The sequence below is a fragment of the Homo sapiens genome, chromosome 7, assembly GCF_000001405.40.
Source record: "Homo sapiens chromosome 7, GRCh38.p14 Primary Assembly".
Taxonomy (NCBI): Eukaryota; Metazoa; Chordata; class Mammalia; order Primates; family Hominidae; genus Homo; species Homo sapiens.
In genome coordinates, this window is record NC_000007.14 from 36,990,664 (window position 1) to 37,015,330 (window position 24,667).

Here is a 24,667-nt window from a genome sequence, read left to right on the forward strand (position 1 = left end):
TCATGAAATTTTATTCCTTTCCATAAGCATGATTTATTAAATGTATTATTACTAAATCTGATGTAATTCTTATACCTTTGTAATACTTTTTAAATAAATCCACAAATCAAAAAAGAATGTTAGGCGGTATACATGTATTTTTGAATAAAAAATATGGTGACTATTATAGAATAATTTCTAAACTGGCTGTCCAAATTCTCCTTAGTTCACCTATAGGTCTTAACTGAAATGAGCACCATTTATATTGAGCCTTTAAAAGGCAGATGAAGGGATTCCATTTACCGGGCACTAAGAGAGGTGGCACTTATACCCATTCCTTTCATTTTCCAGCTCCTGGTCCCAAACTGGATGCTTCCACTGAGTATCCATTTCATTAGGATTCATGTTCTTTGCTGGCAATGAAGGTGATGGTAATGGTCTCTACAGTTTACGACATGGCTACGCTGCAACCAGTTTTGTTTGATTAATTCATTCTTATGAGGGAGGTCATCAGGGTACTTAGCCTCATGAAAATTCCAAACAGTTAGGGTGTATATGCAGTAGGCTCTTCTCCACCTACATCTCAGCCCTCTTATGGAATGCCCTCATACACACACGTGCACATGCATGAGCCCACACACATAAAACACACTGATATCGTTTCCATAACAGCAACAGGCCCAGTGCAGACTGAATCAGACCATATCTCCCAAGGATGTGAGATCAGAAGTGGGGACTCTTCCCCAATGGGTCAGAGGTGTAGCCACTACTGGCTCAGTGAAACTACTTTATTTCATTCAAGAGACTTTGGAGAGATATTTCTCTAGTATTTGGGCTGACCAGTATACAGTTATCTCTAATCATTTTACATGGTGCATTTTTAAGACCAAAACATATGCAAAACCTGAACTGAACATAGTCAGAAGACCTTTTTACAGCTCTTTTTATCCTCAAAGGGAGATATCAATAATATTCCATGGAAACATTCCCATACGTAGGCACCTGCATCTCTTTTCCTCATTTTCATGGAGAGATGATCCTGAGCAGAATGTGCAAACCCTGTCACACTGTCACTTTATCTTTTGATCCCAGGATGCTGAGCTCTCTGTGATAAGCCTGGACATCTGTGGAAGCTTAGGAGAGTAACAAAAAATGCAGATGCAGTGCTTACCATGGGCCTATGCTATAAAAGGCCCCATTTCCAAATGGAGAAACGAAGGCTCAAGACATTCAGATAACATGTCTCCAGTTGCCATCTAGTAAAGTGGGACACTCAGGATTCAAACTCAGGTGTCCATCTGTGGAGCACCCTGAGCAGCACGCCCCACTGTGGCCTCACAGCTCCCCAAGCAAGCAGCTGGAGCAGGTGGGATTATTCCCAAGCATCCTAAGGCTGAGTTATAAAATATGAGTCATTAATATGAATTTTATTTCCCTGGGCTTTGCTATTTTTTATTACCCACAAAATGCCTAACATGTAAGTGATACCTACGAACAGTAAGAAATAACACCAGGATCCACAAAATGCATACCCATCTATAAACAGATCCCCAACCCATGCATTTCTTCCTGCCTCTTCCAGAGCACCAGGCTTGGAGAAGTGACCATGATTTGCATTCACAGGACTGGAGAGTCAAGGTCTGGAAGTTCTTGGGGCATCACAGACCTAATAAGTGAATGGGCTGACCCAGAAGAGCATGGGCCTGAAGAACAAGGGCCAACATGATGCATCTCTGATCATGCTGAAAGCCTTCAAAGGGATAGTTGGTGAAATTCTGTGTTTATCACTTGCCAATTTGAATTTTCCAAATATACCATGGAAATGAACTCCAGAATTGCAGGCTGATGAAAAATCAAGCCAGAAGGAAAAATGAAAATGCCAAAATTCTCAGCTGAGTCTTGCCAAGCGCATCCACTGGCAATATGGTGACAAAAAGCGACTGGGCCAATGGTAGGATATCCTTTAGATGGTGCAAAATGAGAAACAGCTTCTTCACCATCGGAAAAGGAAAGCTTCATCACATCCTCCTTGGTTTTCAGATCTAATGAATAAGTAAACCTCTTCCAATTCCAAAACACACCCATTTCACATGCAAATAATTCTACCTTTTGAGAAAAAAACTAGTTTCTGATATTCTCATTAGAGGACAAATTTCATTGCAGTGTGTAGAGATTAAACCCACGGCTCACCATGTTTTTTCAAATGGTTAGACATTTCATGCCCTTACTTTTTCTGCTTTTTCTTCTCACACATTCACAGGTATTTTATCAAATGAAAAGGCTCACAGATAACCTATGCATTCCGGTCTCCTGTGACAACAGGGATTACACTACATCAGAAAAGAGTGCATCAGGGATGCGGGGAAGAATATAGGGTCTGATGAGCAAGACAGAAACCAACAAGGTCAAGAACACAAGCAGACTCAGCTTACCCTGGCAAGCAAGGAAGAAGAAGAAGAAACTAGAGATGAAGGCAGTCAATTCCAGGGAGGTCATGTTCTGAAGGGGGTGGACAAAGCAGAGAAGCTTAAAGGGGGATCCAAGAGGTCTGTACAGAGCCAGATATGGAACCACAGGGGGAGGGTACCCATAGGCCCAATGAGTCACCATATGAAATTCTAGGGTGAGTCCTGTTTAAACCCAGTTGTTTTAACTTTGGATCTTGGTAGTAAGTTGGCTTTATCAGAAACCAGTCACACAATGAATATCAGCAACAACACATAACCTCTCTAAACAAACCAACTAAGTGTGTGCCTAGTCTTAGTGAACCAGCACTGCCATCACAAAAACAGGATTGCTGTTCTTAAACCCATCTTTCAATAGCAACAGCATGTAAGAGCCAGATCGCTTCAAACTGTTCTCTATCTATGAATACTTCCAATCAAAGGAAGCTTTGAAATGTGAACCATGACCCCTAAGCAAATGATATTTGACAGGCTATTCTCAATCTTCATCAAGAATAAGCTCTATAACATAATTTGTGGAGAAATTAAATTTAGAAAAAAATATAATTTTATTTTATTGTCCAGTACTTGCCTGCAACTTGAAGCTACTAATTGCAGAAAAGAGTTAATTTGATATTAAAAATAAAAATTGGCCCTGAAGGGCAATAACCAATCCATGTATATACAATGGAAAAATGTATCCCTACCCCCACCAAGTCATCTCAAGCTAAATTTAGAACATGGTTTCCAAAATGCATTGCCTACAATTCTCTCCACACAATGAAAAGCATGAGAACGACGAAGCAAATCTTTGAAACAATCACATACACTGAACCTTGAATAAGTGCTCTTGCTTATGTTTTGTGAGAGTCTATTGTGTTGGACCTCTCAGCTATTCTGAACATACACTGAGAAAACATATTTCACACACAAAAAAATCCCAGTGGGAAGTGAGGAGTTGGTGCATTTATTCAAGTAATATTTAGGAAGTGCCTGAGATAATGCAATTTAACATGTCGCCCTGTGTTTCCTTCAAGTCTTGGGAACCCAAGAATACAGCCTTAATGTCTTGAAAACAATAAAGTTCCATTTATTACATTTTCTGTTCATGAATTTCATTATATTTAATATCTTTTCCAAGCAGACTCTATTCTGCTCACCTGGAGAGCTTCTATTCATATGATGCTCCCTTAAATAAAGTTCTTCCTCTATGTAATTTTTCCTTTGCATTCTTTCCATACAATATATGTGCTATGGCTATTGCACACTTAGCTCTTTTCACAGCTCTCACCAATACTGGGAACCCTCTAGGGCTGGTTTTACTAATACAACACCAGGAATACCATCTCTAGATGTATCTGTTAACTTAGCCAAGAAGACAAAATCCTACTGCAAACCTTAAACTTAGAGAGGTTATACAAGCCTTCTTCTGAGTACTTCTGTCATTCTATCCAGCATCGTAGGTACAGCCATGGGGATGAGGATATCTGAAAACATCTCAATGACTCATCCCCTGTTGTCTCCCATTCCTTCCTCCTCCCACTCCTGCAATCTCAGTCTGAGAGGGACTAGGGTGCTCTGTGTAGAAGCACTCCTGAACACTACCCCTTTCAGAAATCCATTTTACAAGCATTCTAGGTGCTGGGTCCAGCTCTGTCTGCAATGTGGCTTACTTTCTTAAGTGTATCACATCTGCTTAGAACTTCCTTCCAGTTAATGAGTCTTTCTTGAATCAAGCCTGAAGGGCTTTTGATCTCAGTACCAATCAACTTCAGGCTAAGATGCTGGGCACTAGCTGGGCTGGCAAAGCTGGCCCAAACCCAGGCTCTATTTCAAGGAAGAATAAACAAACTTAGCCTGAAGTTATAACATGGAATGTCAAGATAAAGAAATTCCTCCTAGACTGACACCACTGCTCAGACCACACCTGGAGCTTGGTGCCAGTTCCACACCCACAAAATTTAAAGTGTTTCTTTAAAAAAATGATTGTAAGATAATACATGTTAGGTAGCAAAGATGGGGAACATTAAAGACATAGTAAAAAAGAAAAATATAATTAATCACACTATGCAGAAGAAACCATTTTTCTTTCAAACCCACAACCCAACATCATAGAAGCCATTGTTAAAATCATTCAACCTGGCTGGGTGCCGTGGCTCACGCTTGCAATCCCAGCACTTTGGGAGACCGCAGTGAGCAGATCATGAGGTCAGGAGATCAAGACCATCCTGGCCAACATTGTGAAACCCCGTTTCTACTAGAAGTACAAAAATTAGCTGGGCATGGTGGTGCACACCTTTAGTCCCAGCTACTTGGGAGGCTGAGGCAGGAGAATCGCTTGAACCCAGGATGTGGAGGTTGCAGTGAGCCAAGATCACGCCACTGCACTCTACCCTGGTGACAGAGTGAGACTCTGTCTCAAAAAAAAAAAAAATCATTCAATCCTTTTTAGTTTGTAGTTTTATTTAGTTGAGATATAATTTTGCAGGCTGCTCTACTCACATTTAATATACTACAAAACATGTTTCTGATATTTAGATACTATTCATGAATATCATTCTGAATGAGTAAAAAAAATTTTAACAGATAAATAAATGTATCCATAAATTAATTTATCAATCCCCACTGTTGAATAGTTGGGCTATTTTCAATTTCTCACTCGTAAGTAACAATGAAATGAACATCTATATGCACATCTTTGTTTTCCCCCCTTGAATGACTATGATTCTAAATGGCTGTATTATACAAATGAGATAATCTACAAATGAGATAATCAATGTTGGTGAATTTCCAACATTGAGCCAAAGGATGATGAGCCAAAGGAACCTTGTCTCCTCCCCATGCAGAGGGGTGTAATTGACCTCACAAACAGCTGGAAGCCAGGGATCTCCAGACTCAGCCCAGCGTGGTTTGGGAAGGGAAGTCTTTGCCATCATCTCAGCCCTGTCTGTGTGGGAGCACATTCCAGCATGAAAAATCAATTGGCTTTTGTCAGACAATAAATATCACCAAAAGAAAATCCAAAGACGTTTTTAAGACAGAAAAAAATATTCCCTTTCCTTTTCTTTTGGAAATAGCTTAATTTTTTTCATCTTGGTCTTAAAAGAAATCGCCACTAGAAGAATCACTCTTTTTCCTGTCATAGCCACACAATGCCCTTCAATGCCAAACTGAGTCCATAAGACTGTTTGTTCTGTAGATTGCAAAGTTTGTCCTAGAGTGTGCTTTTTCCTTTTAAGACCTTATCAGCTGATTTAAAAATAAACATTATTAGCTATTTTTTTCAACAATAGGATAAAAATTCAATTTAAGTAACATTTGTTAAGCTCATATATATTTCTTTCTTTTTGGTAGGCACTCTGGGGTAGAAAGGTGAGTGAGAATCAGTCCTGGTTCTTAGGGGTAGAGTCAAGAAACAGAGAGAGTAGATATGATTTTCAAGCCTTTGGAATTCTGCAGCATTGCCTCAAGGTAGCCATGAGGTGGGACAGAGAATGAATGGGAACCCATTTAAATCAAAGATAATTGGCTAAAATAAGTTTCCGAACTTAGCATATAGCTGAGTAAGTTAAGTGCTACAAGAGAGGGGAAGAAAAGTGAACATAAGAGGGAAAATTCCTCCTGTCCCCATGGAGGGACTTTGCAGGGCCCATGAGTTGGGCCTTGAAGGACAGGCAGATTTTTCACCGGAAAGAGTGAAGGTTCCTCCTTGCTGAGGGAACACAATCAGGGACAGATACTGGGAAGTGCAAGGCATGCTGGGCACTCAGTATGACTAACGATAGGTTAGTAGGAGGTGTGCTGCTAGACGTAATAGACATGTTGTTTGGAAGAGTGGTTTAGGACAGAATGTGGAGTTTTTCTATCCTGCTGGAAGAAGAGAGAGCCAGAGGTTTTTGAAGACAGATGTCTCATGAGAAGAGCTGTGTCCTAGAAAGGTGTTTCTGGCAGCTAGGGGAGAGAGAACTTAGGCTTGGGTCAAGTCCAGATTTAGGAAGACCAATTAAAAAACAAACACATCGTCTACACAAGAGATGATGGTGGCGGGAAGGCAGGATACAGAACAAACTGAGTCCATAAGTGAAAGGCACAGGGTGGCTAAGCTATGACAGGAGAAAGTGATTCTTGAGAGGAATGATTTCTTTTAAGACCAGAAAAAAAATTTAAGCTATTTCCAGGAGAGAAGGAAAATGATTTTGTTTTTTTCTGTCTTAACAACACCTTTAGATTTTCTTTTGGTGGTATTTATGGCCTGACAAAAGCCAATTGATTTTTCATGCTGGCATGTGTTCCTGCACAGAGACTGGGGCTGAGATAATGGTGCAGGAAAGTGGAGTCACAGCATTAAAAGGCAGGTGGCCCTTCTCATAGAGTGGTGAATCAGTAGGACTTGGGGACCTACTAGAGAGAAAAGGTAGGGAAGCCAGAGATCTCTCCTGGATTTCAAGTCCAAGATATGGGGTGATTGTGGTGTCACTCCTGGAGTTAGAGCCCACAGAAGCAGCAGCAGGAACGGAGCCATGAGAATGGAGAGTTTAGCTTTGGACATCCCGAGTTTGAGGAGTCTGCAGACCATCCACAGGGGTGGAGCTCAGAAGACGATGAGGGTGGAATTCTGTCTGCCTCAGGTGCTGGTTGAAGGTGGGGAGGAGGCAGTGGTAGGAGAGGAAAAGAGGAGGGCCTCAGGGAATGCCTGTGCTAAAGGGGTCAGTGCCATGGGAATGAGGAATGGAGAGGATCCCAGGAAGCACAGGAGGCAACACAAGTCAATGCCTCAGAGCCAGGGAACAGGATGAACAAGAACAATCAGAAGATGACCTTGAGCTAAATGAAGCAATTGCAGCAGGTGGGTGTGGGTGAACATCAGACCACGTCGAGGTGAGGAGGTGGGAAAGTGGAGATGTCATTCTCTCCCGGAAAATTTGGCAGTGCAGAGACGGACAGAGATTGGATAAGAACTTGAAAGAGGAACAGGGTTGGAAAATATTGTTTAAGGAAAGGAATGATTTTGGTATATTTTTAGGCTGAAGAGAAGAGATGGGGGTGGGGGAGGATGCGAATAGCATGAAGGTGTAAGGGATAAAAGATGTATTTTTATAAATTTTTTGATGTCTCTCTTCTTCATCAGAGCAGGGATTCAGAACAATGTGACTTCTTTCCAGTCTTAAATTTAGAACAACTCAACGACTCCTCTCAATTCCCACTTGCCTCTTAGAAATCATGTCTTTTGTGGCTACAGAGGTTTTCAAGTATTCAAAATATATATTAATGCACTTTGGAGTCGTATTTCTTCTCTTGAGCTCAGTTATATTTTTAGTTATCCTTTAATTTTTTTTCTAAAAATGTTGCTAGTAACTGGAACAATAATAGTTATTTTATTTCTTCCACGTATATTCAATGTGCCATTTGTACATATATCTTAGGTGCATTGTATACATATATAAATATATATATGTCTGTATCTATATCTGTATATCTATATCTATCTTGCATGTATGTTCATTTCCAAAGTCACAGTAAAAAAAATTTTTAAGGAGAGAGTGGTTCACAGGGTCAAGGGCTACAAAGGTGGCAAACAAGATTGAGATTTAAAACTGTCCACCGGAGGCCATTCTTTGTCAAAATCAGTGACTTTTGTGGCTAAAGAGGTTTTCAAGGACTGACACTATATTTTAGTGCTTTTTAGAGTCCTATTTCTCTTCTTTTGCTCAGTTATATTCTCGGTGTGGGCAGAAGGCAGGCTGCAGTGGATTAATACATGAAAAGGCGAGCTGGGAAACTGAGGCAATGACTTCAGAAACCGAGCTGCAGGGGCACAGGTGAATAGGGGGTTGAGAAAATCATTTATTTATTATTAAGAATGTGGGAGATTTGTGTGTGTTTATATTCTGGTGAGAAGACAGCATGTGAGAGGAAGAGACTAATGATGCAAAGATTAGAAATGATAACGGACAGAGCCCCAGAGCAGGTGAGAGGGGATGAAATTCAAAGCACAGAAGGAGGCCATCCCCGGGGCCACAGCATTGTCTAGGAGGGAGGGTGGTGAGTGCAGGATAGGAGAAAAGCCCCGGGTCACGCAGGAGGTCACAGGCAGAGCTGGACTAGAATCCATGCCTCTCCATGCCTCATCTGGAGCGCCATGTGTGCTGTGTGATCTTCGTGTCATTTCCCTCATGGGAATGGCCCCAAATGCTTTTCATTGATTAAGATGAGCAGAACAGAACTACAAATTTTGCCATTCAGACGTGGTCCAATATTGGCCATTTCATGTGGTTCCACCTAATCTTGGTTCATTTCATCCTCAAAACAACTCCATGACGATCAGTCTCTAGACGAAGAGACCGGGATACAGGGCAGGGCAATTAACCTGCTCAAGCTCACCCAGCAAGGAAACGAAGGAGCTAGGGTGTGAATCCCACTCCTTGGGTCCAGGGCCAATGCTCCTGACTTAGACTTTACTACAACTTATTATGGTGAGTTAAATGATCACAGAATAAAGAAAGAGAAATAGGTACTGTGAATAATAGAAGAAGACTGTGTCAGAAACCAACAGTAAATGCTTATGGGTAAATACAACTGATTCCACGAATGTACAATAATTTTTGGTTGAGCCATTTGAAATTGCTGTATTTGTCAGACAAAAACAGTCCAATACTGGCAGTTGCATATGGCTCCATGTCATCTTTGTGTGTGTGTGTGTGTTTGAATCTGCAAATCTCTCTCTTGATTTCTCAGCCATGCAGGGGAGCAAAGGCTGAGGCTGCATCTGTGGCAGCTTCAGGTCTCCATTATCAGCCTAAAAGCTTTTATAACTTGAAAATTTAATGAATAAAAAATTCTGGTAAACTGCATCCAAAAAACATTGATTATCTTTTACTCACAGCCTTTTTTTTCTGGTACATGCACAAGCAAATTTTTATTCATCTGATTCCCTGACCGACCAGCATCTGCTCAGCTGAGGCTTGGAAGCAAATGTCCAGGCTTGCCCAGTGCCAAAACCACAATAAAACAAGCCAAGAACCTTTTTCAAACACACGTTGGGGCAAAAGTATGTCCATTTTATATATACTTGTTGTGGCAATAAATACATTTTAATAGGAAAAGCATCTCTGTGTGATGCGTGGGTCTTTTCCTTTTCTACTTCTGCTTTAAGAACACATAGTGGCCAGGGAGCTTTCGGACAGAATCCCGTGCTCTGTGATTCACAAAATGGAAATCTGGCATTATATGCCAATGACATTTACTTCTGTGGCAGCTCAAGCGGCAAAAAGCCATATGCCATACACCTCGGATCCAGCCAAGCCACGCAAACAAATATGTGAAAGAGAAAGAAGGAAAATAGGACCAGAAGAGTTCTGGGGAGCTGATTGCCTCCAGCACTTAAAACTCTCACTGTGGCAAGAACTGGGTCTTCCCACTCTTATGACATTCTAAGGGGGATGCATTTTTTCCCCCCAATTTAAGATAACTTCGGGAGGTAAAGGTAAAATACAAAAGATAATTTTTGTGAACGGCATGATGTGTTCACACATGTGATTCAACATTCCTGCTGCACAAGCACGTATTTCCTAGGCATGCTTGGCTAAGTACCAGTCCCCTACATGGGATGGAAGGTTGACAGTCACATTTGTCCTTTGCACTGGAAGGTCTCTCGGCAGCCATCCTGGGAAAGAACAAGCGCCATTACTGATGTTATTTTTCCCACTGGCCTGGAAACAAGGCTAGTGGGAAAAACAGTGCTCCTGGAATGGCCAGGGTATGTGGGTTAAGCAGGCTTAAGGGCAATATAATAAATGAGTGAAGGTGAAAATGAAACAGAGGGATATATACATATATATATGTATATGTGTATACACACACACACACACACACACACACGTTTTTTAACAAGGAGTTCCAACCAATCTTCTTGGAAAAAGAACAATTCAGTTTCTTTTGCAAAAGTTCAATGTCTTTGAAGCTTTCTATTCACCTTATATAAAGCTACATAGGCAGAAAAATAATGACAACTGCCATTTTTATTAAGAAACAGATGGCAAAATCATTTCATAACTTCCTCAGAGTATTAGCATCTGAAGAGATTCTGATGGAGGGGTCTAGAAGTGTTTCTCAATAAGGCCTGTTGGCATTTGGGGCAAGAAAATTCTTTATTGTGTGGAATTTCAAAATACCCATGGCCTTCAGGAATTGAACAACGGTGGCCACCCCATATTAAGACGGTGTATATGAATTCAGCTTACTGGTCAGGTGGACCATTTTTAATGATCATTGAATTAAACATTTCTGGCCATTAATTAATTCAACACTCAACACAAAGTATTTGAGCAGATACTACTTAAAAGCACCTGGAGGATATTAAGACATAAAATCTAGCTCTTGCTTCCAATGATATATTGAAATATATGATTTATTTGGGAAGACAGACTTAAAAATAAACAACTGCTATAGAACTAGAAGATATTTTCCAAAAAATTTTGAATTCCATGCTGTGGGAGTAGACATACAAAATTTCATTCTGAATAAATAAAAGGGAGATGGTAACTATCTTGCTAAGGTGGCACTTGTGCAAAATCCTAAAGGATAAGTGAAATTTCAACAGGTAAATGGGGGAAGACGTTTCTGGTAGAGGGAATGAGACATGAAAATGCAATTGCACGTACAAGAGCAGTTCAGGTAGAGCCTAGGGTAGGTGCAGGGTGAAGATATGGAGATAAAGCAGAAAAATTACTTTAGGTGAATTAAAGATAAATCTGAACATCTTGCTGAGGCCACAAAATTTAATGAGTCAGGCAATGAACAGCCACAGAAGTTTTAAAAGCAAGAATGATATGGTCAGATCTGTGTTGGAGGAGATTCGGAAAATGGAAAGGTTTCCAAGCTGGGAGATAAGTTGGTGTAACAGTTGCTGTCTTAGTCAGCTATTGTCATGTTAATGCTGTGTAACAAACAACTCCAACAGGTAAGAAGTTATTCTCACATTCACAGATCTACAGGTCAGCTGAGGTGGCTCTTTCAAGCTCTGTGGGCTGACTGGAAAAACTGCGCTCCATATATCTCATTTTGGGACCTACACTGAAGGAGCAGTGGCTACCAAGGTATGTAGTTCTCATGATGATGGTAAAAGTGCAAAAGCCCAGCTCAATCACTTGAGCAACAGTCAAGCTTCTGCTCGTTTCACATCCATGCACATCTCAACTGGCCCAAGCAAGTTCACTTGGCCAAGACAAAAGTCAAAGGGTGAAGGAAATTCACTTCACCCATCATGAGGTCATGGCAAGGATTTGGAAGTATGCTACTACCACGAAGCAGTGCAGAACTGTGACCAGCCATTCAATCTATCACATTGGGGTGAGAGAAGAGGAAGACAGAAACTGAGGCAATGATGAAAAGGTAAAGGACCATGTGGTGATTGTACCGACTTTGGCCACTAATCAGTTTCACAAAGAGGGACTAGCCCATAAATTTCTAAGTAGAAACTTACTAGACTGCCAGCTCTATGACAGCAGGAACCATCCTGTCTTGCTCACCTCTGTACTCCCAGTGTCTACCACAAGCACTGTGTTGTAGACACAAATAAATATCTGTTGAAAGAATGAATAGCATTTGAAGAGTAAGTTGGATATTGACCCTATTAACCAAGATGTGGAATGCTGATGTGGCTGTGCTGTATGTATGATGGTGGTGAGATAGTAACTTTGAGTACCTTCTAGATCCTAGGCATGGTGCTAGATACTTAGAATACAGAAAGAGCAAGGCTCTGCTCTTAGGAAGCCAGATAGGCAATTGCAGTTCACTGACATAAGTTCTAGGGTATAGGTATTCCTAGGGACAAAGCAAGAGGGACAACTCAGGGGCATCTGAGTGAGTTGTTGCCAAAAGTGATAGCTGCAGGCTTGAGCACTTTCCTGAGGAAGGTGGTGGTCCGATTGATATCTGAGCTGATTACCTGCCTAAATGACTTCCTCCTACACAGTTGGCCTGATCATCTATTATTTTAACTTTACTAGAATAGGAAGAAAACACATAGAAACCAGAAAATAAAGGGAAGAAGGAGGCGGGCAGAAGAAGAAATTCGGTTTGGAATTATCATCTCTCAAATTCAAGTTCTAATGTTCATTTTTCTCCCTGTAATAATTGCCAAAAAGGGGCTGGAATGCTGGGAGTGGTAGCTCACACCTTTAATCCCGGGTACTCGGGAGGCTGGGGTGGGAGGATTGTGTGAGGCCAGGAGTTTGAGATGAGCATGGGCAACATAATGAGACAACGTCTCAAATACAAGAAAGAAAAGAAAAGAAAAGAGAAAAGAAGGAGGGAACCACTGCCAAATGTAGCCTTACTTTGATATCTTCTTCTGGCCTCTCAACCTCTGTCCTTGCTTCGGACCTGTCTGACTTAATGACTTGGCTCTATGCTGGTGACAGAGCAGGAGGGTCAGTGTGTGGGTTGAACAAGGAAGATCAGTGTTCAGCTCCTACTTGGAAAAATGAAGGCAGATAATCTTGACCCATAAGTCACTGTTGCTCAGATAAAAGAGCACAGTTCTGAAAAATTTGCAGACATACAACCAATGTAAATTAGAGGTTGAATATGCATATGAAGTTGAATATGCATGTTTTATGATTTAGTCATTAAATATATATTTTAACTACCAAGCACCTGGATCTGGTATTCCGCAGAAAACATTTGGAAATCTCACTTAGGATCTCCTAACTTCTTCTAGCTCTTGTTTTGGCGTCTTTGCAAATAGCTTCTGATCCCACTCTCTCACTCTGACTGCTTGGTTTATCTTGTCTAGGGCCCCTTGTTGCCCTCAACCCTCCATTCATCACAACATCTGGTACCCTCAGTTGGCAATAGGGGGCACCTATATGACAGCACCTATGTGCTCTTCTGTTCTGCCTTAGGAGACTCATCTCTTTTTGGAAATGTGTTCTTAACCTCCCATGTAACATCATTTACTTTGCAATTACAAGATAAATATTTTTTTTAAATCAATGAGGCCTTGTATTTCATGAGAGATTCCCACCTAATGGTACCCTTCTTAGCTATCCAACTCTGGTTCCTATCTGCCCTTTAATTTAAAATGCCTAAATCTCATCATGCCTTACTTAAAATGTAGGTAATTTCCTTTTAATGGGACATATACTAATAAAATGGTTTCTGTGACATTATCAAACCTTTCATATAATCCACAACGGAATCTGGAATTCAGGTCATAGAAACCAGTTAACAACTGGTTTCTACACAGCCCCAATGTATAGTTAATAAAATGAAAGAAGTTTCAGAAGTTACTGAACAGAGTTATGGAAAGCAGTTAACCTAAAGTCATCATTATTCTCATGCTCAGGGATGGTCAGAAATTGAACCAAGGGACTGATATATCTCACTGCTGTCCAGCAGAAGAACAAATCAATTATTTTCTCCTCCTAATTGGCAAATCTCAAGTTAGCACGTGCTACACATGCAAAGAAACATAGACACTGGCTCTAGAAAGACTTCAGAAATGAGAAGCACCTCATGCAAAATCTTGAACACAAAGGAATACCCAAGAAGTATATTTACTACTGTCAGGCTTATTCAAAATGGTAAGATTCACTCTTGGTCAAGACCATTTTTATAAATGCTCCTGTTATAGAAAATGTCCAGAAAGCAAAACATATTAAAAATGCCTTCAGCTAAAGATAGCAGTCAACCTTTAAACAGGTTTTTAAATAGTTTAACCATTTTTATGAAAATTACATGGGCCGGGCGCGGTGGCTCATGCCTATAATCCCAGCACTTTGGGAGGCTGAGACGGGTGGATCATGAGGTCAGGATAGCGAGACCATTCTGGCCAACAAGGTGAAACCTCGTCTCTACTAAAAATACAAAAATTAGCTGGGCATGGTGGTGCGTGCCTGTAATCCCAGCTACTCAGGAGACCAAGGCAGGAGAATCGCTTGAACCAGCGAGTTGGAGGTTGCGGTGAGCCGAGATCACGCCACCGCACTCCAGCCTGGCAACAGAGCAAGGCTCTGTCTCAAAAAAAAAAAAAAAAAAAAAAAAAGAAAAAAAGAAAATTACATGAACAGGGTCAACAAAATCCAACTCTTTCTGGATGACTCAGATTCCTCGCATGCTCCTTCCTTATAAAGAGATGCTGCCAGGGCTGTAAATTCAGCGGGTAGAGGGTTGGGAGATGCAGGGTACAGTGCACAACCCCAGGACAGTCCCTGAAAATTGGTCACCCTCTAAGGTCTTCTCTATGTTCTTCATAAAAGCTGCCATGGACCCCATGCAGCTGAGACCACCACGGCAGCACACTTAGAAGTTAAGCCACTACTGGCTGGGCATGGTGGCTCACAACTGTAATCCCAGCACTTCGGGAGGCCAAGGCAGGTGAATCACCTGAGGTCAGGAGTTCAAGACCAGCCTGGCCAACATGGTGAAACCCCATCTGTACTAAAATTACAAAAATTAACCAGGCCTCGTGGCGGGCGCCTGTAATCTCAGCTATTTGGGAGGCTGAGGCAGGAGAATCACTTGAATTCAGGATGCAGAGGTTGCAGTGAGCCGAGACTGTGCCATGGCACTCCAGCCTGGGTGACAAGAGCGAGACTCTGTCTCAAAAAAAAAAAAAAAAAAAAAAAAAAGAGTCACTACTAAGTTAATCACTAAACTTGAGGGAGCAGCTTGTCCACCTTTCCTGAAGATGTTTGCTCTCAGTGTTGCCATGAGCATCCTTTTCCTTTTCAGAGGCATTTGGAATCCCGTGTCACCTGGTCTTCTCCCTGCTCTCCATTACTGTGGACTGGTGTTGGCTCCAGGCCAGTGCTGAGCCTGCCAGTTTATCTGCCTGATGTCATCAGGGCGCACAGCCATCCTAGCTGTGGGTAATTACCTATTCCCATCTCACAGATGAGGAATCTGAAGCCAGCAGAACCAAGTCCCTTGCACAAGGTTACCCAGCTGGAAGGGAGGCCCTTGGCATTTTTATGTACTGTCCCCAGCCCCCTGCCTCACCTGCAGTACATCTGTTTGTGGGTGGGCTGGGGAGGAGTGACCACAGTGGTCAAAATCCCCTCTGTGGCCAAACTAAAGTTCAACGCACCCCCATACAGAGGTATAAAACAATCTGTATTTATGGATATTTGAACAAACTATCTGGGGAAATCAAGGCAGCTCAATTACACTGCATGATAAAGTGCAAATTACTGACACTTTAGGTTTTGCCTGTTGAGATTAGGACCTCCTATTTGTATAGGACAATTTGCAAAGCAAACCTAATGAGAGCTTAATCCCCACAGTGACTCTGGGAAGTATTATTTATTACTATTGCCACTACCGGTTTACAGGTGAGAAAGGACTTGGTGGTTAAAGAACAAGCTCAAGGTCACACTGCTGTGAGGGGCCAACTGGGACTGCCACCAGATCCTCCTGCTAATTCAGCCTTGGTTCTTGCCTTTGCACCATGCATTCTTGATGAGGGAGTGGGGACATCATCCTTAGGGAGGGCACAAAAATGGTTCTTGGAGGAGTAAATATTACTCTTTTTACACAGCAGGCACAGGTATACATACACAAAGACATATACAATATATCTGTAATTACAATTTCAGGGGGAGGGTGATTGGGGAAAAATACCTATAAAACTCTCTAGCGGGGTGATAATGCAAAAGAGAAGGAGAAATATTGCTCTGTACCACAGTGCTTCCCTGACTTGGCCAGGGTTATGTTACCTGTTATTAACACATATCTGTTTATGTATGACATTGGGGTCTATTTGAACATACACTTATTGAAAAAGATAAGTTACCAAAGTCACTTTCCCGGTCTTTCTGCTGTCTCTGGATAGTATAATTGACACTGGTAAGGATTGGAGAGGACATATCTTGATTGCTGTCCAACAGAAAGCGGCAAACTCCATGGAAATAGGTAACACTATCTTACATGAACAGCTTAAACACAGACACACATATGAAACTCTTTGCTACCTATTCAACAGGGAATATCAAAGAAATAATAATTAAATCTATTCATATAATGCATTTGCTTCTAGAGGAGGTTCCACTGCCTGTGTGGCAAACCTAAGACCTTTGTGAAACATCAGAAGCCTTTTGAAAAAAAATGCTTGTTAATCGCCTAGACAGTTGAAAAATGGAAAAGCTCAGTGTAGGACATTAGGGCTCTTTAAAAGACTTCTCCTCTACTCAAATATTCATGTTTCAATTAAAACATACACCTACTTTATTAGCCACACCAGGCCCAGTTCAGATCAATAACAGCAGCACTAGATGGAATTCTAATGAAGATAAACAACGCTGAGTCCTCCCAGCTTCCCCTGGGCATGGATGCACAAAGCTTCCTTTCACAGCTTGCTCCAAGATATTTTACAGTCACCTGCCTCACGCAAATGAGGAGACTCATGTTTATTCATGATGAGACTTACAGACCACCTTTCATTCCCTAGGCCAGCTCAGCTAACCAACAGAGCGCCGTCTGCACCACTATGAAGTTGAACTGCCCTAGTAAGGAGACTCCTGAATATATAATTGTCCCCTGAAAAGCATGCACAGAAAGTCAGTAAGCTGCAAACAGTTTGAGAAGCAAACACATTTCCCTTTTTTATTCATGTGTTAGCTGCCTTTAAGGTTTTAAACACAATCCCTTTTCTATCCCACACTATAATCCACTAGATGTGACTAGCTGGTGGTTATTTCCTATGAATAATCTTCATAGGAGATTTCTCAGGATGTTTCCTTCTGTCCTGCTCTCCCGTTCTTCCTAATTGAGATTTTCTCCCATTGACTCGGTTGAAGCTCACAGCCTGGCCAGGGGCAGCTGCAGCTTTGTTTAATGGGCCTGGGTTCTCCCTGTGCACAGTCTCTGCTATTTTAAGGGATGGTTTTTCATTTGCAAGCCTGAGATTCTAAGCTCTATTGTGTGCGCTTAGTTTATTATGCTGCTAGATAAAGTTTCAAGATAGTGCTTTTACTCTAGAGTGACTTCATTTTTCAAATTAGTTTCTTCCATTTTGGTAATCTGAAAGTATGGCACAATCATCTGATCTTGGCTTATAATGTCAATTTTGATAGCGTCTAAAGTAACGCCAATGCTAGGAACAAATATTTTGATGGTTTATAAAAGCGTCAATCATCAGCGAAGAGATCTGGGCAACTAGTAATTGTTGGGGAGGACTTAATTCTCACCAGCCATTAAATATGTGAAAATCATGGGACCTGCTGTTTTTTAGGTTGCTACCGTGTGTTTCACACGGGAAACTAAGGTACCTAATAAAGTTGTTTGGAGGAAGACACTTCCAAAATCCATGAAAATTTCAGCTTAAAGCCTATTTTTGTCAAAGTTACATGGGTTACTAATTCAGTTCAGAATTTACTGTGAAATTCATAGCTTCACTTTTTTTTTTTAACATAGCCAAAAAATGTCTGTTTGTGAAAAGGGCAATTTACTCATTTTTCATAGACAGGCTTTATCTTATTCAGTACAAAAGAACACTCCACAACTACATATACCATTTTTACTTCCTCAGAGCATTTTTACAGTAATTACTTCAATTTATTATCACCCCACCAAAAGACAGGGTGATGTATCCTTTTAAAAACTATTATTATTTTTAGATTCTCAGACATAGAGCTCTGGAATAGCAGATCCAGGATGAAAACCTGGGTCACACAGGTCAACAAGCATCCTACTCCATCAATGCACGAAATTTACAGTAGCTTGTGATAAGTATCACATGTGTTAATGATGGCGATTCTATTAACATAAATCACCTTTAATGATCAAATCTACCTTAATGAAAATACTCATTCATAGCTTCCCCCGCCACCCCCGATGATTTAATTAATCTGTGGTGCGGTTGGCCGGTGGGATAACAGGGTTTTCAAAAGCCCCCAGGTGATTCTGACGTACAGCTAAAGCTGAGAAACACTGCTACACACAGACATATACTCTAAAGTGTATACTCTCATTACATTTTTTTTTTACAGTGGAGTAGTTAGCCACACATGCTTTAAATGAGATTCCCATACCTAAAATATCCAAGTTACTTGTGTCCCCTTTCTTATCCCGCTCAAAAATGAGGATTTCAATGAAATGATTATGGGGCTACTTGTGTGCTGAGGTATCCAGCTGCAGTTTAGCTCTTCTCTAATGCCCATAAAAATGAATAATGCATGCTCTAAAATATTGGTAATGATAGAACACACACTCAATGGCCTGAATCAATGGATTATTCTGCAGAGTGCTATATTGAGAAACTGAAAGAAAGTACTTTTCAAAGCATAAATATTTTAATCACTCTTCAATTCTACTTCTCTTATATAAATAAAAAACATTCCATCTGCTGCTTCCCAAGCCCGGAAGAGCAGACGACAGCTGCTTTTCCAAACACCCTCTTCCAGCAGTGGCATTAACTACCAAGCACTAGATATCTATAAACTGGTGTCCCAAGGAAGGCGGGCTGCAGAAGCTATTCCTGCCTCTGATAGAATCCAGCATAGTTTGTTGGGCAAATCAAAATTTTAAATTGAGGGGCACTCCTTCTCCAGTGAGGAGCTAAAGAAGACAGATAGCTAAGCCCTGCTCACAGAGCCCTGGGTCTCAGGGTTGACAAATAAACCCACCTTCCATGCTCTGTTTACAGTGGCAAGAACCTGAGATAGTGTCCAAGAAAGTTGAAAAGAAATTATGTTTCATGTTGGGCTTTTTTAAAGACATTTCTGAATTTGAATTTGGACAGTCAGAGAATAAGAAAAAAACATTAAATCTATCAGTAACTCACAACTCACATTTGTTCCTAAATTCAATCTCCTCTGCTACCAAGTTAATAACAAGAAGAAAAGTGAACTGATTTAACTTTCAGCTCTTCTCTCTTCTCCAACTTATTATCAAGTAAAGCAGAACAGTGGCTGATAGATGGGCAGCAGAAAAAAATCAGAAAGGCAGTCTTCAAAATGAACCAGAAGCTGTCACAAAGAGGCTTCCTTTTTAAAAAGGCTAGTGGAGGCGGAACAGGGCCATAAAAGAAAAGGGACATAATTATATCTGCATCTGAGCTGTCACTAGCAGAACTCTGTGACAGGTATCATGTCTACCAGCAAAAAGAAAAGCAAACAAAAGGCTCCTCTGTCCGTGTTTCATTAATTTAAACTGATCTACACATCTAAAAACCTAATATAGCTGCAAATCAAATACACACTGGAAATAGGCAGAATAACAGCTTCCCATTGGTGCCTGCATTCCAATCCTCAGAACCTGAGAATACGTTACCTTCTGCAGCACAGGGGAATTGGGGTTGCAGACAGAATTAAGGTTATTATCAGCCAACTTTAAGATGGGAAGATGATGCTGGATTATCCAGGTCACCCAATGTAATCACAAGGTCCTTAAAGGTGGAAGACCAAGGCAGAAGAGGGATCAGGGTGATGGGATGGCATCTGAGAAGGACTCAAGCTGTCTTTGCTGGCTTTGAAGATGGACAAGAAGGACATAAGCCAAGGAATGCAGGTGACCACCAGAAAGTGAAAAAGGCAAGGAAACAAATTCTCTCCTAGAGCCTCTGGAAAGAAACACAGCTCTGCTGCCGCCTTGATTTTGTCCTAGTGAAATCCATTGCTGGCTTCTGAACTATGAACTGTAAGATAAATTTGCATTGTCTAAGCTACTAAATTTGTGGTAATTTGTTGTATCAGCAACAGAAAAGTTATATACGCATGACAAAAATGTAAATACCTGATATATTTTTCTGGTTACATAAGTAAGGCATGCATAGTACTGAAAAAAAGAGAAAAAAAGCAAACACGATGAAAGTATTTAATGTAGAAAATTAAAATTCCTTGTCCTTCCCATCCTGGATTTTCCTCTGATATCTGCTCTTGCCTGATGGCTATTTGGATGTGAGGCAGGAACCTCTGGCCCTCAGGCCTGGAGCTGCCTGTCCTGAGCCATAAACTGTCATCCCTACTTGGCAATAGAGGTGTGACCCCCAGCATTAGTCTATGATCTGTAAACAATGCAAAAAATGGCATTAGAGCTACGGTAAGAAACTGCACCCAAAACCTGGCTCTTAGGTCTTGCTGAAGAGATTTCACAGCCATATAGGCTAATTATGATAAAAGTTTCACAGTGACACTCTGGGGGGCTTGCTGTCACCTGGCAGGGCCCTGAACAGGCAGGATGTCTGCCACCAATCTGAGCACATGGCCATGATAAGCCACAGGGACCCTAGAGCTATGGTCACCTCCCTCCACCAGCTGTGCCCACCTCCTCCATCCTGGGGCCTCCGGCTTCCTTTGCTAACAAGGAACTCTTGGTGCTTCATGTTACAAAATGTAACTTCTATAGGATTTAAGTGTCTGAATGCTCATCCCCAGAGTCAGTCCTCTGCAGAACTTTCATAATATTTTCTACACAGCTTATCTGTGCCTAGATCAACAACAATAATATCTGAAACATTATTATTTGCAGATATTATTCTGCAAAATGCAGAATTTATAATTTAGGAAAAGCAGGATAAATGAGATCTCTCAGAAAGCAGACATCTGATGCCCAAATCCGTAACAACTGGTGAGGTCTCCTTCTCCTGGAGGAACAGGTGTCCCCAGCTCGCAAAGCTGAGGACTGGATGGCTTTCACACAGCAGCACATGAAAGAGCTGAAATGATCCAGGGCAAAGTGGCCTTAGTCCCTTAGCCAATTTCAAAGACTACTGATTTAATTCTCTTTTTTGGTTTGATTGAACAAAGGCCTCCCTGCTCCTCCTTCCCTCTTTCCCAGGGATGATTTGCACCTGAAATGCAAAGTCTCTCACAATCAAGCGAAGTACACTTAGGAGGCTGCAGTTATAATCCTAAGGAAATTAATGGGCTTCTTTTCTCCACTTCCCTTCTTGAATCAAGCCTGTCCTCCGGCATAGCTGCTCAGACACATGACAGCTCTGGATTGCAGCTTCCAGACCAGTGCTCTCCACAGAAGGGCATTACTGGGGTCTATTTCAAGGAATTCAATCGATGACCAAGATGCAAAGGACAGATCGTTGGGATGACAGAGATGATATGGCAAGTGAGATCACTGTGCTGAGGAAGAAACTCAGGTTAGGACCTGACTGAAGCTTAGGTCCTTTTCCTGATTTTCTTTCTTTTCAATTGGTGTTGGTTCAAGATGCCACAAATGAGAAATATAGTGGGAAACAAGGATGAGATGTATATCCAGGGAGAAGGTGACAGGGAGGCAATGACCAACAAGTATATTAAGTGCAGGTGAAATTCAGAGATTATGTTATGCACCAAGCACGCCCATGAAAGCCCCACAGTATGACTGAGGGCCAGACCCTTCGACTCTTACAGTCACAGCCCTTAGTGCTGGGTGAGAGTGGTCATGGGTGATGGGCCTGACCACAGTCACAGCTGTATATAGCAGCAAATTAAAAGTACTAAAGGCTGCAATAGTTATTATTGCTAATCAGGCCTTTATCTAAGGACAAAGATTTTGCTTCTCTATGAAAGCATGGATAGTGCTTCTGCTCTAAGTTGGCCAATGCTCTTCCCTCTGCTGGTTATTCACACACAAATGGAAATGTGAAAGTCACACTCTTGTGAGACATTATGATATAGAAAACTAAAGGACATCTCAGTTCAAAGGATCAAATGCTTACTGTAAACCAAGAAATGTTGCATATAACCTTAATGACTCAGTTCTTGGAAAGGGATCTTTCATTTTAATAAAAATTCTTCTTGACGTAGCTCGGGGCAGATGATCACAACACATCCATAATCCACAAAGAAACCACCGGACTAGGTGGAGCAGTATTCCTGATCTCATTTGCTCTGTACCAATCTCCTGGACAGGTGGAGGGAAGGCCCCTTCCCCGACAGATCTTGCAATATTGACAAGGCATCCCAAACTAATGCTATGAAAGAAAACATTCGCCTTGATAACGTGTCCCAAGAAAAACTCTCTGCTGGTGGCTCCAACTTAGACAAAGGAACAAAGCTGCTCCAAGCGTACCCCCAGAGGGATGAGGTCATCCCCAGCACACAGATTCATGTCTACACAGGGATGTTTGTCTTTCTCCATTCTTGAAGCAACTATCATTGCAATCTTCCTCATTTCCCCACCTTGCCAATTGCCTTCTGCACACAGCCAAGGGACCATGCAGCAGGCCCCTTTAGCGCTGCGGGAATCCCCTGCCTCTATCCGAGATCCACATTACCTTGTTGAAGTCTTCAGAAGTTGCCCTCATTTCCTTCCATGTCTTGTTCAGGAGCTGGATACAGATGCAGAAAAACTCCTCAAAGGATCTGTCGTGGGTGAAGAACATCGGGTGGAAGTCGTTGCAGGTCTCACTAGCTGGAGGAAAGAGATGGAAAATAAGAGAAAAAGTTTTAAAACAGTGAAACACGAGAACATAACCACAGGTATGTGCCCCAAAGGGAGACAAGCGGAGGTATCTTTGGTTCAGGCAATAATGGTGAAAAAGTATTTTTGAAAAAAGCAACCAAAGGATGGCCCCCATACAACTCGGAAGTTTAAGGCCAGATAGTCAGACCTAGCCTTAGACACATATTTTTGGACTCATAAAAGTCAGTCCCTAACCCATGCCAGGACAAGACCCTCTTGGCTTTGTTCCAAAACTGCTGTGTTGATTATGAGCCCTATATCTGCCTTCTTGACCTTATACAGATTATTCAAACTGCCCTCTCAGGCACAGCTCCTCCGTCACCCTCAATTTCCTCTTTCTTATCAGAATAACTGGCAGAAGATGGGTTTTCCTGAATACACGATTAATTGCAACTTTGGAAACAGCATCCATGATTATTTCTCCAGGAGGCTCTTTTCTCTCTCATGGCAGTAAGCAGGGAACATTTGAGATCATTAACCATCTGATGCCATTAACCATTTGTTTTACATTTCCAGGCACAGATGGCTGGAAGTCAAAGCAACCTGAATAGCTTTGAAGGCGGCAACTGGTCCAGTCCTGGGCAAAATCATAAAATCAGCCAAAACTGCCTTCAAGCCCCCATTGTAGAGCTTCCTTGGGTCACACCTAGTGCTCGGAACTTTAGGTCTGGTCCCTACTCTCCTCCTCCTCCTCCTCCTCCTCAGCCCCTCCCATCATCCCATCTGTCAAGCTTACATTTTTATAGCCCTTTTGTAAGTTATACCTCATTTGATCTTTACAGTTCCTCTTACCACTCGTATCTTATGGATGAGGATACTGTGGAGCCCAAGGAACTAAGGTTTGTGACCCCCAGAACCAATACCCTAAGGTTTTTAAAAAATAAATATATATGCTGTTACATACAGTGAAAGTCTTTCTATTTTATTTGGAATCTCTTTTTTTAAAAAAAATATCACTTTAATTTCTGGGATACAAGTGCAGAACGTGCAGGTTTGTTACATAGGTATATATGTAACATGGTGGTTTGCATGAGAGCTGGATGACTTTCAGGCTTTTAAACAGCAGCACATCAACCCATCACCTACGTTTTAAGCCCCACATGCATTAGCTATTTGTCCTAATGCTCTCTATCCCCCAGTCCCCCCACTCCCCAACTGGCCCCGGTGTGTGTTGTTCCCCTCCCTGTGTCCCTGTGTTCTCATTGTTTAACTCCCACTTCTGAGTGAGAACACAAGGTGTTTCATTTGCTGTTGGAATCTCTTTTAAGGTCAATTCATCCTCAAGGCTCAGAATGGAAGGGTTTCAGGCCCTGGAAGTCCAGGACAGGATGGAGGGAGGGGTGGGAGCAGGCTTATAGCAGAGAGCTTCTGTTCTCGGGGAGAGCCCTGGTGCCTGCCATGTGGATGAGCAGCGAATCTACTTAGAATCCTATAGAGCAGGCCCCCAGTGAACAAACCCTGATCAAGCCTCATGGAAACACACTCAAGGATACACGGCTACCAAGCTATTACACACCAACCTCTTCTCTCCTCAACCTTCATGAATACAGTGAATTTCAGACTTCTTAACAGTTTAAAACAACAGCAAAGTGGTGTTTATTTGCACAGCTCACCATTTCTAAAGGGCACAACCCGATTTGAAGATATGGTAATGCTGTTTTCCTCCAGATAAAGTAAGGGCATGGGCCTGGAGCAATGCACAGTCCTGTAGGAAGAGTCCGGGGGTGGGGTGGGGGGACAGAAGATTTGGGTTCAAGTGCAGCCCAGGCCAATCCAGAGCAAGTCATTTTACCTTTCTGAGCTTCAATTTTCTTAACTAAAAAAATGGAGGGCTGGGCACAGTG

At 41.7% G+C, this 24,667-nt stretch overlaps 1 protein-coding gene and 1 long non-coding RNA gene across 15 annotated transcripts in view, besides 1 other annotated feature; one reads left to right on the forward strand and one right to left on the reverse strand.

The window, feature by feature from the left end:
- ELMO1 (engulfment and cell motility 1) overlaps positions 1–24,667 on the reverse strand; it is a 596,421-nt gene that overhangs the window by 137,758 nt on the left and 433,996 nt on the right. For 12 of the 14 annotated variants that reach the window (NM_001206480.2, XM_011515654.3, NM_014800.11 and 9 more), the window contains one exon: positions 22,636–22,772. In NM_001206480.2, the coding sequence (NP_001193409.1) occupies positions 22,636–22,772 (137 nt within the window). Of the gene's footprint in view, positions 1–16,567; positions 22,773–24,667 lie in introns of those variants that run through there. The other 2 variants (XM_047421091.1, XM_047421090.1) reach the window with 1 other exon arrangement.
- Positions 7,133–22,967, forward strand: ELMO1-AS1 (ELMO1 antisense RNA 1). The gene is made up of 3 exons (NR_104120.1): positions 7,133–7,269; positions 11,409–11,518; positions 22,687–22,967. It is a non-coding gene; the product is annotated as an ELMO1 antisense RNA 1 (long non-coding RNA).
- Positions 22,062–23,261: an enhancer, noted in NCBI's record as "BRD4-independent group 4 enhancer chr7:37052330-37053529 (GRCh37/hg19 assembly coordinates)". NCBI's record gives its function as "activates an origin of replication core promoter dependent on BRD2, P300/CBP, MED14 and CDK7 cofactors, and independent of BRD4, by STARR-seq in HCT116 cells {active_cell/tissue: HCT116}" and the evidence as "EXISTENCE:reporter gene assay evidence [ECO:0000049][PMID:35650434]".